A 26,251-nucleotide genomic window follows, 5' to 3' on the forward strand; every position below is an offset into this window, starting at 1 on the left:
AGTGATGTTCAGCTTTTTTTTTCATATGTTTGTGGACCACATAAATATCTTATTTTGAGAAGTGTTTGTTCATGTCCTTTGCCCACTTTTTGATGGATTTGTTTGTTTTTTCTTGTAAATTTGTTTAAGTTTCTTGTAGATTCTGGATACTAGACCTACATCAAATGAATAGATTGCAAAAGTTTTCTCCCATTCTGTAGGTTGTCTGTTCACTCTGATGACAGTTTTGTTGTTGGTGTTGTGCAAAGCTCTTCAGTTTAATTAGATCCCATTTGTCAATTTTTGCTTTTGTTTGCAATTGCTTTTGACATTTTCATCATGAAATCTTTGCCCATGCCTATGCCCTGATTGATATAGCCTGGATTTTCTTCTAGGGTTTTTATAGTTTGGGGTTTTACATTTAAGTCTTTAATGCATTTTGACTTGATTTTTGTATAAGACGTAAGGAAGGGATCCAGTTTCCATTTTCTGCATATGACTAGCATCCCAGCTTCATTTATTAAGTAGGCAATCCTTTCCCCATTGCTTGCTTTTGTCAGGTTCACCAAAGCTCAGATGGTTGTAGACACACAGTATTATTTCTGAGTTCTTTATTCTGTTGCATTGCTCTATGTTTCTGTTTTTGTGCCAGTACCATGCTGTTTTGGTTAACGCGGCCTTGTAGTGTAGTTGAAGTCAGTTAGCATGATGCTTCCAGCTTTTTTCTTTTTGATTAGGATTGTCTTGGCTATACAGGCTCTTTTTGGTGCCATATGAATTTTAAAGTAGTTTTTTTCTAATTCTGTGAAAAATGTTGATGGTAATTTAATAGGAATAGCATTGAATCTATAAATTACTTTGGGCAGTATAGTCATTTTCATGATATTGATTATTCCTATTTACGAACATGGAATGTTTTTCCATTTGTTTGTGTCCTCTCTGATGTCCTTGAGCAGTGGTTTGTAGCTCTCCTTGAAGCGGTCCTTCACTTCTGCTGTTAGCTATATTCCTAGGTATTTTGTTTTCTTTATAGCAATTGTAAATGGGAATTCATGCATGATTTGGCTTTCTGCTGGTCTATTGTTGGTGTATAGGAATGTTTATAATTTTTACACATTGATTTTGTATCTTGAGACTTTGCTGAAGTGGCTTATCAACTTTAGAAGCTTTTGGGCAGAGACAATGGGGTTTTCTAGATATAGGATCATGTCATCTGCAAACAGAGACAGTTTGACTTCTACTCTTTCTATTTGAATACTTTTTATTTCTTTCTCTTGCCTGATTGCCCTGGCCAGAACTTCCAATACTATGTTGAATTGGAGTGTTGAGATAGGGCATCCTTGTCTTGTGCTGATTTTGCTTCCAGCTCTTGCCCACTCCGTATAATATTGGCTGTGGGTTTGTCATAAATACCTCTTATTATTTTGAGGTATGTTCCATCAATACCTAGTTTATGGAGAGTTTTTAACATGAAGGAATGCTGAATTTTTTTGAAGGCCTTTTCTGTGTATATTGAGATAATCATGAAGTTTTTGTCTTTAGCTCTGTTTATGTCATGAATCGTTTATTGATTTGTGTATATTTAACCAGCCTTGCATCCCAGGGATGAAGCCAACTTGATTGTGGTGGCTAAGCTTTTTGATGTGCTGCTGAATTTGGTTTGCCAGTATTTTACTGAGGATTTTTGCAGTGATGTTCATCAGTGATATTGGCCTGAAGTTTTCTTTTTTTGTTATATCTCTGCCAGGTTGTGGTATCAGGATGATGCTGGCCTCATAAAATGAGTTAGGGAGAAGTCTCTAAAACTTTGGAATAGTTTTAGAAGTCTCAAAACTTTGGAATAGTTTTAGAAGAAATGGTACCAGCTCCTCTTTTTACCTCTGGTAGAATTCAGCTGTAAATCCATCTGGTCTTGGGCTTTCTTTTGGTTGGTATGCTTTATTACTGTCTCAGTTTCAGAATTTGTTATTTGTCTATTCATGAATTTAACTCTTTCCTTGTTCGGTCTTGTGAGGGTGCATGTGTCCAGGAACTTACTCATTTCTTCTAGATTTTCTAGTTTGTTTGCATAAAGGTGTTTGTAGTATTCTCTGATGTTTGCTTGTATTTCTGTGGGGTCCATGGTGATATCCCCTTTATCTCTTTTATAGTGTATATTTGATTCTTCTCTCTTTTCTTCTTTGCTAGTCCATCTAGTGATCTGTGTATTTCATTAATTTTTTCAGAAAACCAGCTTCTGGATTTATTGATTTTTTTGAAAGGTTCTTCTTGTCTCTATCTCCTTCAGTTCTGCTCTGATCTTGGTTATTTCTTGTCTTATGCTAGCTTTGAGGTTTGTTTGCTCTTGGTTCTCTAGTTATTTTAGTTGTGATGTTAGGATGTCAATTTGAGATCTCTCTAGATTTTTTATGTGGACATTTAGTGCTATAAATTTCCCTCTTCACACTACTTTAGCAATGTTCCAGATATTCTGGTATATTGTCTCTGTGTTCCCATTGCTTTCAAAAAACTTCTTGATTTCTGCCTTAATTTCATTATTTACCCAGGAGTAACTCAGGACCAGGTTGTTCGGTTTTCATGTAGTTGTGTGATTTTGAGTGAGTTTCTTAATCTTGAGTTCAAATTTGATTGCACGGTGGTCTGAGAGACCGCTTGTTTTGATTTTAGTTCTTTTGCACTTGCTGAGGAGTGTTTTACTTCCAATTATGTGACTGATTTTAGATTAAGTGCCATGTGGCACCAGTAAAAATGTATATTCTGTTTTTTGGGGGGTGGAGAGTTATGTAGATATCTATCAGACTGACTTGATCCAGAGCTGAGTTGAAGTCCTGAATATCTTTGTTAATTTTCTGTCTCAATGATCTGTCAAACATTAACAGTGAGGTGTTAAACTCTCTCACTATTATTGTGTGGGAGTGTAAGTTTCTTTGTAGGTCTCCAAGAACTTGTTTTATGAATCTGGGTGCTCCTGTGCTGGGCACATATATATTTAGGATAGTTAGCTCTTCTTGTTGAATTGAAACCTTTATCATGTAATGCCTTTCTTTGTCTTATTTGATCTTTGTTCATTTAAAGTCTGTTTTGTCAGAAACTAGGATTGCAACTCCTGCTTTTTCTGCTCTCCATTTGCTTGGTAGATTTTCCTCCATCCCTTTATTTTGAGCCTATGTGTGTTTTTGCATGTGAGATGGCTCTCTTGAATATAGCACACCAATGGGTCTTGACTCCTTATCCAGCTTGCCACTCTGTGTCTTTTAATTGGGGCATTTATCCTATTTACACTTAAGGTTAATATTGTTATGTGTGAATTTGATCCTGTAATCATGATGCTAGGGGTTATTTTGCAGACTTGTTGATGTAGTTGCTTCATAGTGTCATTAGTCTGTGTACTTCAGTGTGTTTTTGTAGTGTCTGGTAACAGTTTGTTCTTTCCATATTTAGTGTTTCCTTCAGAAGCTCCTGCAAGGCAGGCCTGGTGGTAATGAATTTCCTCAGCATTTGCTTGTCTGAAAAGGATTTTATTTCTCCTTCACTTACGAAGCTTAATTTGGCCAGATATGACATTCTGAGTTGGAAATTTTTTCTTTAAGAATGTTGAATATTGACCCCCCAATCTTTTCTGGCTTGCAGGGTTTATGCTGAGAGGTCTGCTATGATTCTGATGGGCTTCCCTTTGTAGGTGACCTGATCTTTCACTCTGGCTTCCCTTAACATTTTTTCCTTCATGTTTACCTTGAAGAATGTGATGATTATGTGTTTGGGGGTTGATCTTCTCATGGAGTATGTTACTGGGGTTCTCTGGATTTCCTGAATTTGAATGTTGGCCTGTATTTCTAGGTTGGGAAAGTTCTCCTGGATGATATCCTGAAGTATGTTTTCCAACTTGGTTCCTCCGTTCTCCCCGTCTCTTTCAGGTACCCCCATCAGTCATAGGTTTAGTCTTTTTACATAATCCTATAGTTCTGGGAGGTTTTGTTTGTTCCTTTGCATTCTTTTTTCTCTAATCTTGTCTGCCTGTCTTCATTTCAGCAAGATTGTCTTCAAGCTCTGAAATTCTTTCCTCTGCTTGGTCTATTCGGCTATTGATACTTACAGTTGCATTGTGAAGTTCTCGTGTTGTGTTTTTCAGCTCCATCAGGTCATGTATGCTCCTCTCCATGATGGTTAGTACTGAGTGTCAACTTGATTGGATTGAAGGATGCAAAGTATTGATCCTGGGTGTGTCTGTGAGAGTGTTGCCAAAGGAGATTAACATTTGAGTTAGTGGGCTGGAGAAGGCAGACCCACCCTTAATCTGGTGAGCACAATCTAATCAGCTGCCGGTGAATATAAAGCACGCAGAAAAACGTGAAAAGGCAAGGCTTGCCTAGCTCCCAGCCTACATCTGTCTCTTGTGCTGGATGCTTCCTGCCCTCAAACATCAGACTTCAAGTTCTTTAGTTTTGGGACTTGGACTGGCTCTTCTTGCTCCTCAAGCTTGCAGATAGCCTATTGTGGGACCTTGTGATCATGTAAGTTAATACTTAATAAACTCCCCTATATATATCCTATAATATCATATATATAATCCTATTACGTAATATATATATGTGTATATATATGTGTGTGTGTGTGTATATATATATATATCCTATTAGTTCTGTCCCTCTAGGGAACCCTAATACACTCTCTAAACTGGTTATTCTGATTAGCAACTCCTGTAATTTTTATCACGGTTCTTATCTTCTTTACATTGGGTTAGAACATGCTCCTTTAGCTCAGCAAAGTTCATTATTACCCACCTTCTGAAGCCTACTTCTGTCAGTTCATCCATTTCAGCCTCATCCCAGTTCTATGCCCTCGCTGGAGAGGTGCTATGATCACTTGGAGGAGAGAGGCACTCTGGCTTTTAGAGTTTTCAGGATTTTTTTTGTTGATTTTTTTCTCATCTTCACGAGTTTAGCTTTAATCTTTGAGGCTGCTGACCTTTGGATGGATTTTTTATGAGGACATTTTGTTGATACTGTTATTATTGCTTTCTGTTTGTTTTTCTTTTAACAGCCAGGCACTCTTCTGTCATGCTGCTGCCATTTGCTGGGGGTCCATTCCATACCCTATTCGCTTGGCTCCCTCCCATCATTCCTGGAGATGTCACCAGTGGAGGCAGAATAGCAAAGATGGCTGCCTGCTCCTTCATCTGGGAGCTCTGTCCCAGAGGGGCACCAAGCTGATGCCAGCGAGAACACTCCTGTATAAGGTGTCTGGTGACTCCTTTTGGGGGATCTCGCCCAGTCAGGAGGCATGGGATCAGGGACCCACTTAACGAAGCAGTTTGGCTGCCTCTTGGTGGAGGAGGTGCGCTGCACTGGGGGGATCTCCCTCTCGTCCAGACTGCCTGGATTCCTCAGAGTCAGCAGGGGAAAAGAATAAGTTCACTGATCCGCAGAGACTGTGGCCACCCCTCCCGCAGGGGCTCTGTGCCAGGGAGATCAGAGTTCTGTCCATAAACCCCTGGCTGGAGTTTTTGAAATTCTCACAGGGAGGCCCTGCCTGATGACGAGGGATGGTTCAAGGTCCAGCCTAAAGAGGCCGTGTTGCCACAATCTGCCACAACAACTGTGCTGCACTGTGGGGAATTCCTCCTGGGTCCAAACCCCACCCCAGCAGGGGAAAATGGCAGACTGGAGCTGCAGTGATGGCAGCCACCCCACCCCCTCATAGCTCAGTCGTCTTAGGCACCAGGCAGCGGCAGTGATGGTGACCACACCCCCGCCCCCAACCCTGGGGAGCTCAGTAGTCTTAGGCAGCAGGCAGCCGAAGTGATGGCGACCGCCTATGCCCCTGGGAGCTCAGTCATCTTAGGTAGTCTCCAGCCAAGCAACCATTGAGAATCTGAACAGCTCTGTTTTTGGGACGCAAGGTCCTGGTGGCGTGGGCTCATGATGGGATCTCCTGATCCGTGGGTTGCACAGATCCATGGAAAAAGTGTGGTTTCCCAGGCAGGGTAGCACAATCACTCACTGTCTGCCTTAGCTGGGGGTGAGAGCTCTCCTTGCTCCATGTGGCCGGGTGGGCCGTCGCTCCACACTGCTTTTCCTGGCTCTTCATGGGATACGCCAACTGCCTAGTCAGTCCCAATGAGAGAAACAGGATACCTCAGTTGCCTCAGTTGTCAGTGCAGGATTCACTTGTTTTTGTTCTTCTTGGTGGAAGCCCCTAACCACAGTTGTTTCTAGTTGGCCATTTTAGTCCCTCCTCATTTTTAAAAAGGAGTTGTTTGTCTTTTGTTGTTGAGTTAAAAGAGTTCTTTATAAATTCTGCCTATAGGCTCTTATTAGATACATGATTTGCGAATATCTGCTCCCATTTTGTAGGTTGTATTGTCACTCTTTGTAGTGTGCTCTGATGCATAAAGGGATTTTCAGTTTTGATGAAGTCTAATTTATTTATTTTTTTTGCTTTTGTTGTTTGTGCTTTCAATGTCGTATCTAACAATGCATTGTTAAGCCTAAGATTATGACGATTAACCTTCTAAGGTTTTAAGAGTTTTGTAGTTTTTATTCTATTTAGGTCATTAATCAGCTTTGAGTTAATATTTATATATATGAAATCAAGGAACAGCTTTATTCTTTGGTATGTAGATATCTGGTTGTCCCAACACAGTTTATTGAAGAAACTATATTTCCCCATTAAATGGTTTTGACACCCTTATTGAAAAGTAATTGTGCATAGATGTATATGTTTATTTCTGGACTCCCAATTTCATTCCATTAGTCTATGTGTTTACCCTTGTTCCCCTGCTGTAATGTTTTGATTATTCAAGCTTTGTAATAAGTTTTAAAATCAAGAAATGTAAGTTCTCTTTGTTCTTCTTTTTTTATTATTTTGGTTATCCAGGGCCCTTTACAATTTCATTAGCATTTTTTTCAGCAAAAAAAAAAAATCATTGGGACTTTGATAAGGATTGTACTGAATCTGTAGATTATTTTAAGTAGTATTGCCAACTTAACAATATTGTCTTTTAATCCATCAACACACGATGACTTTCCATTTATTTATGTCTTCTTTAATTTGTTGCCACAATATCTTATAGTTTTCAGCATACAAGTCTTGTATCTTCTTTGTTAAATTTATCACTTAGTGTTTTATAATATTTAACACTTTTCTAAAAAGAATTTATTTTTAATTTTATTTCTGAATTCTTTATTGTTAGTATACAGAAATACAACTGATTTTTGTGTGTTGATTTTTTATCCTGCAACTTTGCTAAGTGTATTAGTTTACATTTGCTTTTGGTTTTTATTTTTTCTCTTCATCAGGACAAAGAACAATCCAATTTTCTTTGATGATAACCTTTACAAGAGATACTTATTTGGTTGTATTTTGTTTCTCGCTAACCATTTAAATGAGCAAACTTTTGGAATCCCAGCTTTATTTGAAGTTCTAACCCAGTTCTCTTTCTTTGAGGGCCTTAGGTTTTATCTCTTCCTAACACATGTAGTTCATTAATATCAAAGCTCCTGTTCAGATAATTCTGGAAATTACCTGTAGTTCAGCTAGCACTCTTTGCACTGGACTCATGTTTTGGCTTAGCTTGAACTTTCTTGCCAACTCAGCAATATAAGCATGGCTGTGTTTTGCACATACGTGTGTATTTTCTTCAATATGTTAAATGTTTCTCAATAGATTAGTTTTAGAGGACGTGTGTCCCACGTTCAGAAAGGAAAGTCTCTTATAGAGGGTATTTATGGGAATTAAGAGAGACCATATATACAAAAAGCCTAAGATGAGCCTCATTACACCAATAATCATCTGATGTCATTTTACTTTTGTGTATATTGTTACAAATGTGCAAGGATGCCCAATAATGTATCACTGCTTATTGTAACTGGGAAATATGAGTAACTTGAAACTGCTAGTGTAGGAAACAATATAAGCATGCATTCCTGCTTGAGATGCATGATTTCACTTAAAGCAGCCCCTCAAACCTCACTGCAACACTGCTCACCTTCATAAAATGGCTCGCTAACAGGATGACTAGAGCAGTGATAAGAACATTGTATTATTTTTGGTGCATCTTTTCAAAATGATCACTCCGGTTTACCATTTTCAATTTACATATTTTACTGTTGTCCATTAATTAGTGTTGAAGCAAAATCAACTAGAAGTTACCTAAAGCCAAGTTCAAGTACATTACTGTCCTGGATTCTTACAGGTAAAAGCATGGCAGCTCTTAAACAAGAGCAGAATTAAGTTCTAAGGAAACCCCCCACAGAATGTCCATTCAATGGGAAAGCTTAGCCTGAACCAACACAATGGAAGTCCAAGACAGATGTAATTTCATCATGAAAATGATTAAAGCAGGACTTAAAGTGAATTGAACCTGTATTCTGAAAAGTAAAGACTCTGTTGAATCAGACTGCAGATACCATTACTTATTGATCCAGCCCATGAATTGATTATCTTCTTTCTCTTTAACCCTGACTTCTATCTACTGAAAGCCTGAGAAAGATTTTTCTATAGTTAAAATGCTTTTCATTCAGCATAACTAGCTATTTCACTGTTTATCTACGTACTTTATATAGTAATTTTTAAATGTGTCAAGATATATTTAGCAAACATATCAATTAGATTACAATGCTGAGTAAAGCAATTTTATTTGATGTTTGATAAAATGCTCAGATAAGCAATCACACTCTTTTAAAAAGCAAATTTTAGGCATAAACTTGTTCTGTCCTCTTACTAGTTTTTTTTTTTTTTTTTTTTTCACACTAGCTAGCAACACATGCCATTGTGTGCTTTTGGATTTGACACATTTGGGGCTTTCTTTTGCTTTCAAAATAAGTCTTGTTATTACTACAGTTTGGGTCAGGCTTATTGTACATGAATGCAATAGTTATATCATTATATTATAAGCAGCTAATTGTACTGGTTGTACTAATGAATTATTCATGGCATAATCACATAAATTCACTTCATGCTGATGCTTTATTTTGCATACTAATTTGAACATAGTGCATTTTTCACATTTTGATCTAGAGATGATCTCAGATAATGACCTGTTTGTGGATATGGGGGTTTACATTGACCTTAATATTTTTCTTTTCTCTAAACATTGCTCCATAATGTGTACATTTCATCAGGGTGGTATAGGTCATTCAGAATCAGGGCCCTGCTAATAATTTCTTTTAAGGCCCTCTAATTATTGCTCATTAACAGAATTTCCAAGATAATCTTTCCAACACAGAGCATTGTGTTACCAGGGTCTTCCAAATAGTAGATGTTGTGCCTATTTTCTTCTCCTTCTAACTCATACTTCCCAAACTAATCCTCTCCCTTTTCTTGCCCAATCTCTGGAATTTTCATTGAATTACTCTTTTCTAACTTACACCTTATCCGTTCATGCCAACAAATCCCCTATAGATAAGCCTAAAGTTTTATATGTGGAGAAATGACACCATTGGCCAGTGGCTGGGTAACCTAATGGTCTCCCTGACTCAACTTTCTCACTTCAAGCCCTCATATAGTTTTCAGATTAGTTCTTCTATAGCCACTAATTAAGGCATGTGCTTCCACTGCAACAGAATCTTCTATGGTTTATTACTCTTTACCCACATTAAAACATCTCTGTTTAGCTTTCAAATCCTCCCTAAAGCATCCACCCTTCTAGTGATCTTATTTCATTTCTCCCTCCAGTGACACCAGTTTACTTATTGCTCTATAAACACAGAAAGTTTATACCACTACCTACACCTTTGTTTATCTCCTATCTGCAAATTCCTGTTTACTTTCACCTATGACATTTTCTCAAGACTCAGTACAAGTGCCATTTAGTTTGTAAAGCCTTCTTGGACTATCACAATCATTAGTGATATTCCCTAATTCCCTTTACCACTTGCCAATGCTTCAGTCACTTCATTATACACTTCTTTATATTTTGTGTTTAGTCTTGTCTCATGTGTTTTAATTTTACCTTCCCAATAGGATTATAATTTTTTTGAAAGTCTGAACCATACTGTATATAATCTATTTATCCCTTTGTAGGGTTGATAAGCTTCTTATTGTCTAGCAAAATCTAACATGTCTTAAGTGCTAATAATCATTTATTTTATTTGACTCATTATTAATGCCTGACATGGCAGGTGTTGACATGTACGTAATAGCATTAAAGAGGGTCCAAAGGACCAAGCTATATTTCATGTTGTGGGTGGTACTTTAAGCAAATATATTTATCATAAAATGGAATAGCAATTTTTCTTTCTGAAAGTCTGAAGCTGAAAAATTATTTGACCTATCTCTCCTGAATTGGAAATATCTAACATCAACCTTTAGGATGAGAGGATCATTTGGCTGCGCTATCTGGTATCCATTTGATTTCTGGGTGGAATTAGTTCATCTGGCTTGCTGGCCAGGTGTCCTATTCATTCCTGGATGCTGAAATCATGAAAAAAAATTGAGAAGATGAGCATCCCATTTGGAGAAGAAGGAACATTCTACAGTCAAGAATATAAAAGGAGCTCCACCTTCTCTCTACCATATTTTAGGAAACAATAGCAAAAATCAGTATTTCTACACACTAAAAGTAGTGTCTATGCCTAACTATTATACAGATTTGCAAGGTTTTTATTTTTAAATCCTTGGATTTCATTGCCTTAAATTAACGAAAAGATGATTTTAAAATAGTGAAGTTTCCTTGGAGATATGCAAGAGCTAGACTGCAAATTCCATCCAGGGAAATGAGAGATCATGTCTACCTTATTTCTAATGTGTCCCCAGAGGACAGCACAGTGTCTAGCATCTAGCAGATGTTCAGTAAATGTTCCTGGATATGTCAATGAATAAACATATGAGATGATAAGTGTTCATAATAAGTCCAAGCATTGTGGACTCCACCTACCAGTTAAGTACAAAGATAGTCTCATGGATGTTAATATCCTACATTTATTGTTCCTAAACTATCCTTCTGTTTAACTGTAGGAAGTCAAGTGTTTTGTAGCTTCCCTACCCAAGTATTCTAACATCTCCAGGGGCACTTGTTAGTTTTTATTGCTTGCTGCTAGGGCTAGCAACCCAGAACTCTCCAATCTTTGGCCCTTGGATTCATGGAAAAACTGTTCCAAGGTTAAAATATTGTTTTCCTAGCCACTGCCGTTATGGCCACAAGGGGAATCTCGCATGCAACATGCCAGTGAAACTGGGCCTGTGCCTCTGTCATGAAGGTGGAGGGTAATTGGGTGGTAGAAAGGATACCCATTCTACATTAGGCTTAGCTAGTGCTTCTAATGGCAATTTCGGTTGAGTCTCAAGGATTAGGCATCCAGTACTTCACACACTCACTCACCCCCATAGAGAATGAGCCAGGATCCTAAAGTTCCAGGCCTAAAGGTCAAGGCCTCTTCCAGGCTGAGACTCTCCTCTCATTGCTATCCTTCCCGCCTGCACCACATGGGGTCTCTTGCATTTTTCCATGTCGCTGAAATCAGAACTAGCACTGCCTAAAATGCAAGATATTTCTTCTCCTGGAAAATCTGCCATGCTTAGAATGTAATTCACGGATAAAACCCTCACTGCCACCTATGCAAAGTGAGAGAAACAGTGTTCCTTCTCCAGTATACTCAGCCAGGGCTCCTAGAACAAAGCTTCTTCAGTTCCAAATGTTATCATGTTTTCTTTGATGGATCATTCAACTAACAGGTTGTTTGGTCCTGTTGAAATAAGGTTGTTTGGTCCACTTCCTGTAATCAGCTGGCAAACTATACCCACATCCATTAACCCCCTCCCCACTCAGGACCTACTGCTGACTCCAGACCACTGGATTATGCCACCCCTTTTCTTTGATGAGTTCCTTCTCATTGTTCCCTTTCCTTTGTCCTCTGAGATCACTCTCTGCCACCTCCAAAACATCAGATATGGCTGAACCTTTCTGGTGAGTGGGTTGAAGTCTTTCCTTTCTTCTCTTAGATCCTACACAAAGGAGTGGTTACAAAGGTGAGTTATGGATGCAAAAATCTTAATAAAATACCGGCAAACCAAATCCAGCAGTACATCAAAAAGCTTATCCACCACGATCAAATCGGCTTCATCCCTGGGATGCAAAGCTGGTTCAACATATGCAAATGAATGAACATAACCCATCACATAAACAGAATCAATGACAAAAGCCACATGATTATCTCAATAGATGCAGAAAAGTCCTTCAATAAAATGCAACATCCCTTCATGTTAAAAACTCTCAATAAACTAGGTATTGATGGAACAAATATCAAAATAATAACAGCCATTTATGACAAACCCACAGCCAGTATCATATTGAATGGGCAAAAGCTGGAAGTATTCCCTTTGAAAACTGGCACAAGACACAGATGCCCTCTCTTATCGCTCCTATTCAACATAGTATTGCAAGTTCTGACCAGGGCAATCAGGCAAGAGAAAGAAGGTATTCAAATAGGAACAGAAGAAGTCAAATCATCTCTGTTTGCAGACATCATGATTCTATACTTAGAAAACCCCATTGTCTCAGCCCAAAAACTCCTTAAGTGGATAAGCAACTTCAGCAAAGTCTCAGGATACAAAATCAACGTGCAAAAATCACAAGGATTCCTATACACAAACAATAGACAAGCAGAGAGTCAAATCATGAATGAATTCCCATTCAAAATTGCTACAAAGAGAATAAAATACCTAGGAATACAGCTAACAAAAGACATGAAGGACCTCTTCAAGGAGAACTACGAACTACTTCTTAAGGAAATAAGAGAGGACACAAACAAATGGAAAAACATTCCATCCTCATGGATAGAAAGAATCAATATCGTGAAAATGTCCATACTGCCCAAAGTATTTGAAAGATTCAATACTACTCCCATCAAACTACCATTGGCAGTCTTCTCAGAATTAGAAAAAAACTACTTTAAATTTCATATGGAACCGAAAAAGAGCCCTAATAGCCAAGACAATCATACACAAAAAGAACAAAGTCAGAGGCATCATGCTACCTGACTTCAAACTATATACTACAAGGCTACAGTAACCGAAACAGCATGGTGCTGGTACCAAAACAGACATATAGACCAATGGAACAGAACAGGGACCTCAGAAATAATACCACACATCTACAACCATCTGATCTTTGACAAACCAGACAAAAAAAATGCAATGGGGAAAACATTCCCTATTTAATAAATGGTGCTGGGAAAACTGGCTAGCCATATGCAGAAAAGTGAAACTGGACCCTTTCCTTATATCTTATACAAAAATTAACTCAAGATGGATTAAAGACTTAAATGTAAAACCCAAAACCACAAAAACCTTTGAAGAAAACCTAGGCAATACCATTCAGGACATAGACCTGGACAAAGATTTCATGATGAAAATGCCAAAAGCAATTGTAACAAAAGCCAAAATTGACAAATGGGATCTGATTAAACTAAAGAGCTTTTACACAGCAAAAGAAACTATCATCAGAGTGAACAGGCAACCTACAGAATGGGAGAAAATTTTTGCCAACTACCCATCTGACAAACATCTGATATCCGGAATCTACAAGGAACTTAAACAAACTTACAAGAAAAAAAACCAAACAATCCCATCAAAAAATGGGCAGAGGATATGAACAAACACTTCCCAAAAGAAGACATTTATGCAGCCAATAAACATATTTTAAAAAGCTTAACATCATTGATCATTAGACAAATGCAAATCAAAACCACAATGAGATATCATCTCTTGCCAGTCAGAATGGTGATTATTAAAAAGTCCAGAAACTATAGATGCTGGCGAGGCTGTGGAGAAATGAGAACACTTTTACATTGTTGGTGGGAATGTAAATTAGTTCAACCATTGTGGAAGACAGTACGGCAATTCCTCAAGGATCTAGAACCAGAAATACCATTTGACCCAGCAATCCCATTCCTGGGTAGATACCCAAAGGAGTATAAATCGTTCTACTATAAAGCACATGTACACGTATGTTTATTGCAGCACTATTTTCAATAGCAAAGACATGGAACCAATCCAAATGCCCATCAGTGATAGATTGGATAAAGAAAATGTGGTACAAATACACTGTGGAATACTATGCAGCCATAAAAGGGAATGAGATCATGTCCTTCACAGGGACATGGATGAAGCTGGAAGCCATCATTCTCAGCAGGCTAACACAGAAAGAGAAAACCAAGTGGGTGCTGAACAATGAGAACACATGGACGCAGGGAGGGGAACAACACACTGGGGGCCTGTTGTGGGGTGGGGGGCGAGGAGAGGGAGAGCATTAGGACAAATAGCTAATGAATGTGGGACTTAAAACCTAGATGATGGGTTGATAGGTACAGCAAACCACCATGGCACATGTATACTTATGTGACAAACCTGCACATTCTGCACATTTATCCCATAACTTAAGGTAAAATAAATAAAAAAGTGAGTGAAAAGATACTGTGATTTGAATATTTGTATCTCCTCCAAAGTTCATGTTGGAACTTCAACCCCAGTGTGATAGTACTGTATTAAAACATGGGATCTTTAAGAAGTTATATGGTTTGGCTGTGTCCTCACCCAAATCTCATCTTCAATTGTAGCTCCCATTTTTCCCACATGTTGTAGGAGGGACCTGGTGGGAGACAACTGAATCATGGGAACAGCTTCCCCCATACTGTTTGCATGGTAGTGAATAAGTCTCATGAGATCTGATGGTTTTATAAGGGGAAACCCCTTTTGGTTGGTTCTCATTCTCTCTCTTGCCTGCTGCCATGTAAGATGTGTCTTTCACCTTCCACCATGACTGTGAGGCCTCCCCAGCCACAGGGAACTGTGAGTCCATCAAACCTCTTTTTCTTTATAATTTACCCAGTTTTGGGTATGTCTTTTTCAGCAGCGTCAAAACGGACTAATACAGGAGGTGATTAAGTCCTGAGGGTGGAACCCTCATGAATGAGATTAGTGATCAGATAAAAGTGCTGGAAGGGACTAGCTAGACCAATTTTGCCCTTCCATCTCTTCCACTAGGTGAGGACACATATTTGTCCCCTTTTGCTCTTCCGCCTTCCACCATGTGAGGCTGCCACTGTGAGAGGATGCCATCAGTGGAATAAACCCTCAGCAGATGCCAACTCTGCTGGCACCTTGATCTTAGGCTTTCCAGCCTATAGAACTGTAAGAAAATAAATTTCTGTTGTTTATAAATTACCTAGTATCTAGTATTTTGTTATAGCAGTACAAACGGACTAAGACTGTCACCTACTATAAAATGCCAGAGTTCTGCTATTTTAAAAGTAAATATGAAGCAAAATGCACGAGACACTTTGTAAAGTTTAGGTCCATGATTTGAGAACACTCAAATAGCATAGACATGCTGGTGAGAACTTCAGTGATAGATACTACTGTTCACTGTACAGTACATCTCAGATGGTCTCTGAATTGCAGGGAAGAAGTGGTTGCTGGGAAGCTTAGTGTCTTCATCCATTTTGTGTTGCTATAACAGAGTACCTGAGTCTGGATAATTTATAACGAAAACAGGTTTAGTTAGTTCACAGTTTTGCAGGCTGAGAAGTTCAAAAGCATGGCCCTGGCTTCTAGTGAGGGTTTTGGTGCTAAATCATAACATGGTGTAGGTCAAAGTGGAAGCAAACACGTGCAAAGAAGGAAAACCCAAGGGACATCTTTGCTTTTTCAGCAACCCACTCTCACAGGAACTAATTCATTCCCACAGGAACTAATCCAGTCTGGCCAAAGCAAGAACTCATTCACTAACGTGAGAACAGCACCAAACCATTCATGAGAAATTTGCCCCCGTGACCAAAACACCACCCATAAGGTTTCACCTCCCAACACTGCCACATTAGGGATGAAATTTCAACATGAGTTTTGGCGAAGACAAACTCAAACAACAGCAAAAAGTCCTGTTGTAGATCTACCTATTTTGTCTTTCTTTATTTCAAATTGAAAGCTATATAATTATATTTATATATATTTTAAAATATTATTTTAAATAATAATAAAAATAAAATATATTTTAAAATATTAGTTTTAAAATAGTAATTTGATGTTACTCCAATATAACGCCAGAATTTTCCAAATAAAGCAATGGGTTACCTTTGTAACATTTTTGAACTGCATTTTTTTTGTTTAAAATAATTGTTTCTACTATGTTTCAATCCATGCGAATACATATCTTTTATTTAACACTTATAGGACATTTTGTTTAATTTAGTCATTTTATCTTTCATTGATGATGAACTTACATGAAACCTGTGTAGTATTGGCCAAACTTTATTTTTAGGTGATATCAGGTTATAGCACTTTTTCTTTACCAAGAATGGAGGAAAATAAGTAGTACCTGTTTTTCAGAGGAAAGATAAATGTATGCAAAATATCAGTGTCATGGATGCAAGATCTCTGTTTATTAGCTATCAGGTAACTTAAGAGGTTAGAGACTGAAGAGAAAGCCATCCTCTACATATGGCTTTGGGAATTTGGCAAGAGGTGAAAGGAACATTATAAGATTAAGGCCTGCAGAGTAACTTAACATGCCTTATGATATGTAGAAGAAAATGCAGAAAGATAGGAACATGTGAGTGATGTAGTCCAGGATTTACCACAAGAAGCAGGAATCAACTGCTCACATGTATGTCTCTTTAATTGCCAGATATCTTAGTGTCTAATAGCAATTACATCCCAAAAGAACTACAATGACATTTATTGGGTAACCACTATGCCAGGCCAGATATTTTTGCATATGTTACCTCATTTAAGCCTCACAAATCCTCAGGTATCACTATCCTTTTGTTCAGATACTGGAACTGGAGATCAGAGCATTTAAGGGATTTCTGTACAGTCTGAAAAGTAAGGATCAGAGGTCAAATTCTAATCCAGGACAAACCGTTAACTATGCCTTCTTTGACTTTAAGATAAGAGAATAACTCAGAATTTTATACATTTAATAGGCAGAAAAACTCTAAATTCTCCAATTCTATACAGGTATTTCCTAAAAAGCAGCATAATCATTGTCATCATGGGGAAGAAATGTAGATCAATCATCTCAATGCACTTGGCTTAGTGCTAGCAGTAGCTTTAAAGGAATTAATAGATAAATTCCCTTGACTACGATTTTAGAATCATTAAAAAAGCATTGAGAAAAGTTATTTTCTAGGTAACTTTCCCCATGATTTTGAAACTTAACCTTTATTGGAACCTTCCAAATCTTTCTGTTCAAATCCTTATGATTTAGATTATGAACTTAAGTTGGAAATAACTTTTCCTTATAAAATCATAATGGTTCTATCTATCTATACACACATACGTATTTGACCTCAATTTAATTGTCTTTGAATGAGATTCTGCATTCATGTTAAGATATTTCATTTATTTAAACTAGATTATTCCATTACCAAACATGCCTTCTGTTTAAACTGTTTGAATCACAGCCAAGTAAGAAGCAAATCCTATTCAACTGAACTGAGCCTCTCTGGCCAGCCTTGTGAGTAAGGAGAAAAGAAGTAAAAGAGGGAGGAGAAGAGTTTGATTATGGTGATTTGGTACCTGGAAAAGATGGGGTAAAATCATCAGGTTTTGTAAATAAAAATACAGAACACTTGAATACATTTGAACTTCAGATAAAACAAGGCACAGTTTTTTGTACAAGGATGTCTCAAATACTGCATGAGACATACTTATATTTTAAAATCACCCATTGTTTATTTAAATTCATATTTAACTGGGTGTCCTATATTTTATCTGGTAACCCTAGATGAAGGATCACACAGGACAAATATAACTAGCATTGGGTTCCAATTGCCACATGTCTTTTATGCACAGATTGGCAGGCTTCTCCTGGGGGAAAGTAGAGGCTTAAAATTGAGGCTGCTTTTGCTCACTGCTTAATAGTGACAAGCTATTGATAGCCAGGCATTGCCAAATTCTCATTAGTTTCTAAAAGTCAGGAACTACATTTAGAAAAAAGCGGCTCGCTTATGGAGAGGTCATCTCTCCAGTAACCTCAAGTACCAGGAACACAGCTGAAACCCAGGAAGCAAGGGAAAAAAAGGCCTCTGAGGATTCAAAATAGAAACCATGTGCTAAAGCTCATGCTCTTTTCTCTGAGAAGAGGCCCTCAGACTTGCACTCAGTGTAATTTGCTCTTCTTTCAGACACCATCCAAACAAGTTTGGTTGTCTGATTTCCCACCCAACAGAGATAGAAAGCAGGAAATTGCAAAGTGGGCAGGATGGCTATGTAGACTAGGGGTCAGCCTTGTGGCAGACGATCTGGTAAAAACACATGCACACATATACACACACAAACACACACATGCACTCCACTATATGCAGCAATTCCCATAAAAATTTGGAAGAAATGTACCAAAATGGAATTTGTGGTTATTTTTTAGTAATGAGCTTACAAGTGGTCTTATTTTCTTCTTACACTTTTTAAATATTAGCTAAACTTTTTACATGCATGTTTATGATCAGAAGAGGCAACACAGATATTTTCAATTAAAGAAAATTTAAAAATTATTTCTTGATTCTCTCAGGAGAGCTCTGTTCACACCTCTATTAGAAGCATTTCCCAAATGGTAATTATATGCCAGACATTTATTTGTCTTTGTCCTCTGCTGACTTGTAAACTTTTTGAGAGCAGAGTTAGTACCTTTGTAGCATTGTAGCCTTAGTTATCAGCATAATCTCTAGCACACCAATGCCCAATAAATATTTGTTGAGTATGGAATGAAAGTCAAAATGCATGGTGTTTCTATGGGCATCTAGACATGGAATTCTCCACACCTCTGTCTCCCAGGAGCAGTGCGCCACTGTGGTCTGCTTTGCCCTTTGACTAGGATAAAAGTCTACTCTAAGTCCACAATACAAATTAGAATTAAGATTGCATTCTCTGTTTTTAAAAGCACAGAGGAATATGATTTATTCTGGCAAAGTGTCTTTTGAAATGGTTAGCATCTTTTAAAGTTTTGGCTTAAAGGAATGAGTATAAGAAATTTTGAGAATTCTCTTACTTTTAGTCATTTATTTGAAAATCTGGCTGTATCTGTTAATTGAGGATCATGGGCTAAAGATATGGGACACGGCTCTCAGAGTTGCACTACAGAGGTAAAATGCAATCTGTAAAATATTGGCTGTAGAATAAGACCATGTACAAGTTCTAGAGGAAGAAATGAGAGACCCCTATATGTATTACTTTATATGGCATCTTTATAAAGCTTTAAGGCATGTGCATCTTTGCAAATAAATAAAAATGTGAAAAACACCAAAGCTCTACTTTCCTTGTAACCAATTTCCTTAAAGACCCCCCCTTCTCAGTGCTACATAGAAGGATTGAATATGGTCTTAAGTTCTACTCTTTTTCAACACAAACGAAGATTAAACCAATTCATTCAGAAGAAAGAGAAATGACTGGATTCCATTTACAAGTAGAAAAGGAGTAGAATTTTAGGTCAGGTGCAGTGGCTCATGCCTGTAATCCCAGCACTTTAAGAGGCCGAGGCAGGTGGATCGCGAGGTCAGGAGTTCGAGACCAGCCTGGCCAATATGGTGAAACCCCATCTCTACTAAAAATATAAAACTTAGCTGGGCGTGGTGGTGTGCACCTGTAATCCCAGCTACTCGGGAGGCTGAGGCAGGAGAATTGCTTGAACCCAGGAGGCAGAGGTTGCAATGAGCTGAGATCATGCCACTGCACTTTAGCCTGAGCAATAGAGCAAGACTCTGTAAAAAAGTAAATAAATAAAAAATAAAAAACATAAAAAAAATAAAAAAAACTATGACTATTTAATCAGAAAGAAATATATGAGTTGCTGAACAGTGGATATCATGGCAGAGATACGTGACAATACTGAATAGGATGATTCACCATCTGTTATTTATGTTTTATAAATGATTTCAAAGCACATTTTAGTAACTTGGACGGGATTCTCAAAGCGGGAAAACAGTGTTGCCTTTGCCCACAAATGCACCAGGGCCTGCCAGCAGAGCCCCTTAACCCTAAAAAGCAGCTACTCAAAATTAAAATGCACATGAGGACATTTTTCACTACAATCAACCTGGGTATCAGTATCGACGAACAGGGCTAAGCATTGGTAACTTAATGCAGAGATAAATTTGTACTTTACCCATTGAATTTGGTTCCTTTTCCACATCTGTAAAAAGTTAAATAGAATGGTAAAGTTACCTGATTTGTCTTTCATCTCGTTATTTCTCTACTCCTTGAAGGTAATGCCGAGGAAACACACACACACACACACACACACACACACACACACACAGAGAGAGAGAGAGAGAGAGAAAAAAAAGTAAGTCCAAAGCAGGCAGCAGGAAAAAGACAGAAAAAGTGACAAATAAATGATTAATCCCTGGAAAATTTAAATTTAATAGTGAATACGGACAACTTTCAACTTATAAAAGAAAAACATCCCTTGGGCATCAAGCCTAAGATACTCAACTGTAAGAGGCGGTAAGTCTGTAAGCCTAATAAATAACTTTAGGAAAAGTTTTAAAACTTTGTTTTGATTTTTTAAATATCTAGACCAATGTGTTTTTAAAAACTAGAAATAATGGAATAAATTCCTAATATTTGAAAGAAGATGTCAAGAAAGATAGCGAAGCCTTCCTAAATCACAAGCCTCTATGTCACTCCTTAGACATAATCATCTTTTTGTATCCCACATGAAAATCTTCAGCTATGAAGTGACTATACGGTGCTGTTCCTGCCCAAGTCACCACTAAACTGAGAAGGCTGATATGCCACTGGTCAGGAGACAGTTAATGATGTTACACAGGAAACATGGCACCCAAGTTTCTAACCAACAGTGAATCTGCTTGTTAATTACATTCTGAGCAGGGAGTGACTTTTGCTACCAAAGGGGATTTAAAGAACCCTTTCCACACTACTCCAGAGATGTGAATGCTGAGCCTACAGCCATGCAATGAAGTATATGTAGCAATGAGTATCACACAGCCTCACACAGTACTCTAAGAAATGGTTAAGAAAAACAAATCCTCCATAAAAATCAAGTAAAACTATAAATAATTAAAAACTGCCTTTGGAATAAATGCATATGAATACTAAGTCTAATTAGCAATAAGGTCTTTAAACACACACACACACACACACACACACACACACACACACATTCCAAGGCAGACTTTGTAAGGCAAAGAATAATTTTAAAAAATGCTGTTGCTGTTCCCTACAAAAATGCTGATTAAAGATTGCTACCCGCTTCTTACCCCAGAGAAAGTGGAAAGTCAAACCCTGATGCCCATATTTGCCTGTATCATGTCCAAGAAATTATGGTAAATTGTGAATCAGTCACTACTAACAAATCCATTTGTCCTCTTCATAAAGACTGGAGCTGAAGAATCTGCTGTCAGGATTCGATGGACAGATATCTAGAACAACAGACCCAGTGAATATTTGCTGAATGAATGAACCTTGGATTTGGAAAGCCTTCTATACCAGATTCATGTTTCTGATGTTCTGAATGGAGAAAAACAAGTAAAGAGTTATCCTCAAAGTTTTCTCTCGTGATAGGGCTTATTTCTCTTTAGGTGTGCTACATACTATACTATGTTCTTCACATTCAAGATGAAACGGGATAAACGTCCTAACAAACTTTACCTCTCTGGACTTGACCTTTTAGATATATTTTGGTTCTGGTCTTGGCTTTTGGGTAAGTAGCTATACAGAGTTCATCCCTCACAGCCAGTTCAAGCTGGCTGAACATTATGTCCAGTAGAGGGTTCCCTGGGAGACTGATTTGGCTTAGAACCTTTTGACCCATTCTGTTGGCAAACTTAAAGGTTCACACAGGTCCGTCCTGATCCTTTCAACTATTTCAAACCTCCTATGCCCTTGAAGTGTTCTCTCACTTTTTTTTTCTTTTTTTTCCCTGAGTTCTTTTGAGCAGGGATAATTAGCAGGCGTATTAGTTTCCAAGGGCTGTCATAACGAATTACAAACTGGTGGCTCAAGATTACAGAAAATCATTCTTTTATAGTTGTGGAGGCGAGAGTCTGAAATCAGGGTGTCAACAGGACCATGCACTTTTCAAAGACTCTGGGGGAGAATCCTTCCTTGTCTATTTCAGATTCTTGGCTTGTAGTTACATAACTCCAATTTCTGCCTCTGTCTTTGTATGATCTCTCCCCTGTGTTTTCTCCCTTTCTATGTATCAGGACATTTTTCATTGAATTTAGGGCCAATTAGGATAATTCCAGATGATCTCATCTTGAGATCCTTGACTTAATTATCTCTGCAAAGATCCCTTTTCCAAATAAGGTCACATTCCCAGGTACCAGGTGGACATACCTTATGTGGAAACCACCATTCCATTCACTACAGTGAGTGATTCATCTTTAGATTTGAAGAGGTAAATAATTTGTGGTATTACATTTGGTGCTCTAAACATTTATTTTAAATATTCTGCATACCTTAACTTTGTGTCTATTTATTTTAAGTTATTGCTTTAACTTATTATTATTGTCTTCATTGGTAGTTCTTCTAGACCAAAGTTTTTCAGTCACAGCATGACTGACATTTGGGGCTTGATAATTCTTTCTTGTGGGAGGATTTGCTGCTCATTGTATTGTGTTTCACAGCATCCCTCGCCTCTACTCTCTAGGTGCCAGTAGCATTCCACCAGTTGTGTCAATAAAACATGCCTCTAGAAATTCCCAAATGTCCCTGGATCAGGAAATTGTTCTTGGTTGGAAACCACTGGTCCACTTCAAACATTTCTAGATAAGACTATTAGAAATTACACTGAAACACTAAAATTCATCTAAATCATAACTTTGATTTCTTTGGCTAAAACTTGTGCACTGAAAATATTATAAAAATGTTTTATTTTATTTTGGTTCAGAATAATGAGTTAATGGAACATTTTCCCAGGGTATACATAATTTTCAATGGCCCAGTCTCTACTCACGTAGCAAGTGATATGAAGGACCAGGCTTAGTGCATGCTCTCCCATTTACTTATCTGCTATTCAAAAACGGGCAGAAATCTGCTCCTTTCGACCAGAAAGGCAAACTGAATTCCTTCATAACAGGGTTTGACAGAGAAATATATGTGATATCCATTAATGAAGTAAAATTGCAGAAAAACCACTTCTTTATACAAAGAGAAAAAATATCAACCATTCACCTTTATTGCCATTAGGATCAACATGGAACACTCAAACAATGGTTCTGTTATTAATTCAGAAACATCCAACCCACTTATGAGTTAAAGCAAGATATTAGGCACAGATCTATGAGCTATTAATATTGTCTGTTTTAATAAAACATATCAGAGCTTACACTAACAAAAGTTGTTGCTTCAAGGTTGTAGACACCTTAGTAAGCTAGACAATTTAGTAAACTCCAAAACTGTCATTGCCCCATTCTCCAACCATTTTAAATGTTGTAGACCTGAAATAAAGGCCATCCTGAGTCTCAACAAGAACTCATTTTTGTTTAGAATTACATCTAATTTTGGTTAACTGGATTTTTATCTACAAAACTTGTTTCCAACATTCAAATCCACATTTAAAAGTTTAATATGGCCGGGCACAGTGGCTCAAGCCTGTAATCCCAACACTTTGGGAGGCTGAAGTGGGTGGATCACTTGAGGTCAGGAGTTCAAGACCAGCCTAGCCAACAAGGTGAAACCCTCTCTCTATTAAAAATACAAAAATTAGCTGGGCGTGGTGGTGAGCACCTGTAATCCCAGCTACTTGGGAGGCTGAGGCATGAGAATTGCTTGAACCCAGGCGGCAGAGGTTGCAGTGAGTGGAGATCATGCCACTGAACTCTAGCCTGGGCAACAGAGTGAGATTCCATTTCAAAAATAAATAAATTAATTTAAAAAATAAGATGATAATAAAATAAAATAAAAGTTTAATGTTACTACCAACAGAAATATTTTTAAGATTCCCAGTTTTCCAAGACAATTTAAAAAGACAAAGCAAAAATATTTTGAGTAATGATAGCTTCTTTGACATAAATATAAGGTCTCCCAAGGTAACCGCTCTGAGAAGGACAATAAGCATTTGGATTTATAAATGTTGCTACTTTTAAGAAAATAAATTGCATTATTTTACAGATCCAATCTATAGATAACCCATTAGCTAAACATTCTTTGAAAACAGAAATCAGATTTTTTTCCAGTTATAGCTAACAATACTAATTTCAAATAACAATTATAATAATTTATTATGAGAGAAGATCTTTTTGAGCTATTAATTAACTGAATTGAGAGGTAGCATAGCATACTGAATAAAACCATGGGCTTAGTAGCTCAACTGCTAGGATGCAATTGTGACTCTGTCAGTTATCAACTGTGTGACCTTGGTTTTCTACTCTGTAAAATTGGTCTAATAATAGTAACAACCTCATTAAGTTGCTGTAAAGATTACAAGTTAATGCACATAAAGCATGAAGAGTAGAGTCTAGTATGTAGTAGATGTTCAATAAATGATTATTTCTGTGATTGTTTCACTTTTCTCATGTCTCTTTTTATTTGATTTGATCCAATTCCCTAAAGACTTCACGTTAAGAAATAAAACATTTGACTCCAAAGACTTTTGGCAAGCTGCACTTTTCAGTCTCCTAGTTTGTCTTTATGGCCTTTGGGGTCCATATCTTTCTGCTGCATTTTACAAGTTCTGTTTCAATCATATTTACTTCCATTATATATTAAGTCATATTGAGACTACATAATAATACATGACAATAGATAAAAATTTGGTTAGCCCAGAGTAAAGAATTTAAAGTTATCATTGGACAGATAATAGAAAGAGGAGGAGGATTATTTTGTGTGACATAAATCAAGCATGGTGAAAAACAACGTAATGCTCCCTCATAGAAGCAGGTTTTCACTAAGGGGCTGATGATATTCAAATTGCATAAAATGAATACTTTCCCTGGGATAGTCTTGACCACACAGTATTTATTTTTTTAATTCACAATATTTTTTGAATCAATTTTTAAGTTGGTGCTTAAGTGATTAATTTCTTAATCATGACATACTTATCTACTCCAATGTAGGAAAAATCTTTTTATCTCTCAATACTCATAAATAATAGATGAAATGTAATTGAACTATTATAAATATTATTGATGACAGAAGGAAACAAACTTCTGAGTTCAGCTCTTCCTAACCCAAGAGAGATTGAGCAAAAATACGTATATTATGTGGGAAATTACAATTCAAGTATTAGAACTCCTTTGTTTAGTTAGTTATTTGCCTCAGGCAGGTGATAATTTTCAAACCTAGAAACAATTTATTTTAAATATTCAAAAATTAATATAGAAAATAAGGCTACCAAACTTTTCCAAACACATTTACAAAGAATTCTTGAGGAGGAAAAACAAACTTGAATGATCTGCTTCCTCATTACCATAAAAAGTTGTTTTGTGATGAACCCCCTTGATTCTAAGGACAACAATCCATGACAATTATTATCACAGACAAAATTTCCAGAATATAAGAAATTCTTCCTGTTTCCTTAAGTGGTTTTAAAAAGATTCATCATGATCAAATATAATTTTAGTAAACTCTTCATTTCAGAATAACATAAGATGTCCCAGTGAGAGAATACGCTGAAATCCTTTAATCATACTTTTTTGCAAAAGAGCATTTACAAAGCATCTTTAAGTCACCCTGAATTGGCATAACGTATTGAAGATTTGGGGCATGTGGCTGGATGTTACCTTAACATGGTGACAAAGATACAGGAAGATAGAGAAGAAAGAAAATGGAGAATGGAAAAATTCCACCACTTGTACATAAAAAGCATGAGGTTACATATGTTGTCTCTCTGCGTGGTTCTTCTTTCCAAGGCTCTGGGAAGGGAAAGGGGTAAAATGATCTTCAATTCTTTCTCAGGCCTGTACTGTACCACTGCCTTTCAATATTCTCCCATTTGGCTGAGTTTGTCGAATTTAAAACATGATGCAGTGTTTACTTTATACACATTAAAAGGGAGTTATGTTTAAAACATATAAACTAAAATATCTGGACTATCTGTAACTGAATAATAAAAGAAGACACAAAACCAAATATGAAAAAATTAACAAAGAACTTGAATAAACAACTCACCAAGGAAGAAATCCAAGAGGTAAGTAAGCACATGAAAAGATACTCAATACCACGAGTCATTAGGGGAATCCCAATTAAAATCAAAGTAAGATATTACCACACTTATACTAGAGAGTGGATAAAACTTTAAAAGCTGAAAATACAAAGTACTGGTAAAGGTGTGGAACATCTAGAACTCATACATTTTTCTAGTAGTAATGCAAAT

At 37.2% G+C, this 26,251-nt stretch overlaps 1 annotated feature.

Annotated features, from left to right (window-relative positions):
- Positions 5,300 to 5,594: an enhancer, noted in NCBI's record as "tiled region #2263; HepG2 Activating DNase matched - State 5:Enh". NCBI's record gives its function as "activates a minimal TATA promoter and a strong SV40 promoter by Sharpr-MPRA in HepG2 cells {active_cell/tissue: HepG2}" and the evidence as "EXISTENCE:reporter gene assay evidence [ECO:0000049][PMID:27701403]".

Source organism: Homo sapiens, chromosome 21, assembly GCF_000001405.40.
Source record: "Homo sapiens chromosome 21, GRCh38.p14 Primary Assembly".
In the NCBI taxonomy this organism is placed as follows: Eukaryota; Metazoa; Chordata; class Mammalia; order Primates; family Hominidae; genus Homo; species Homo sapiens.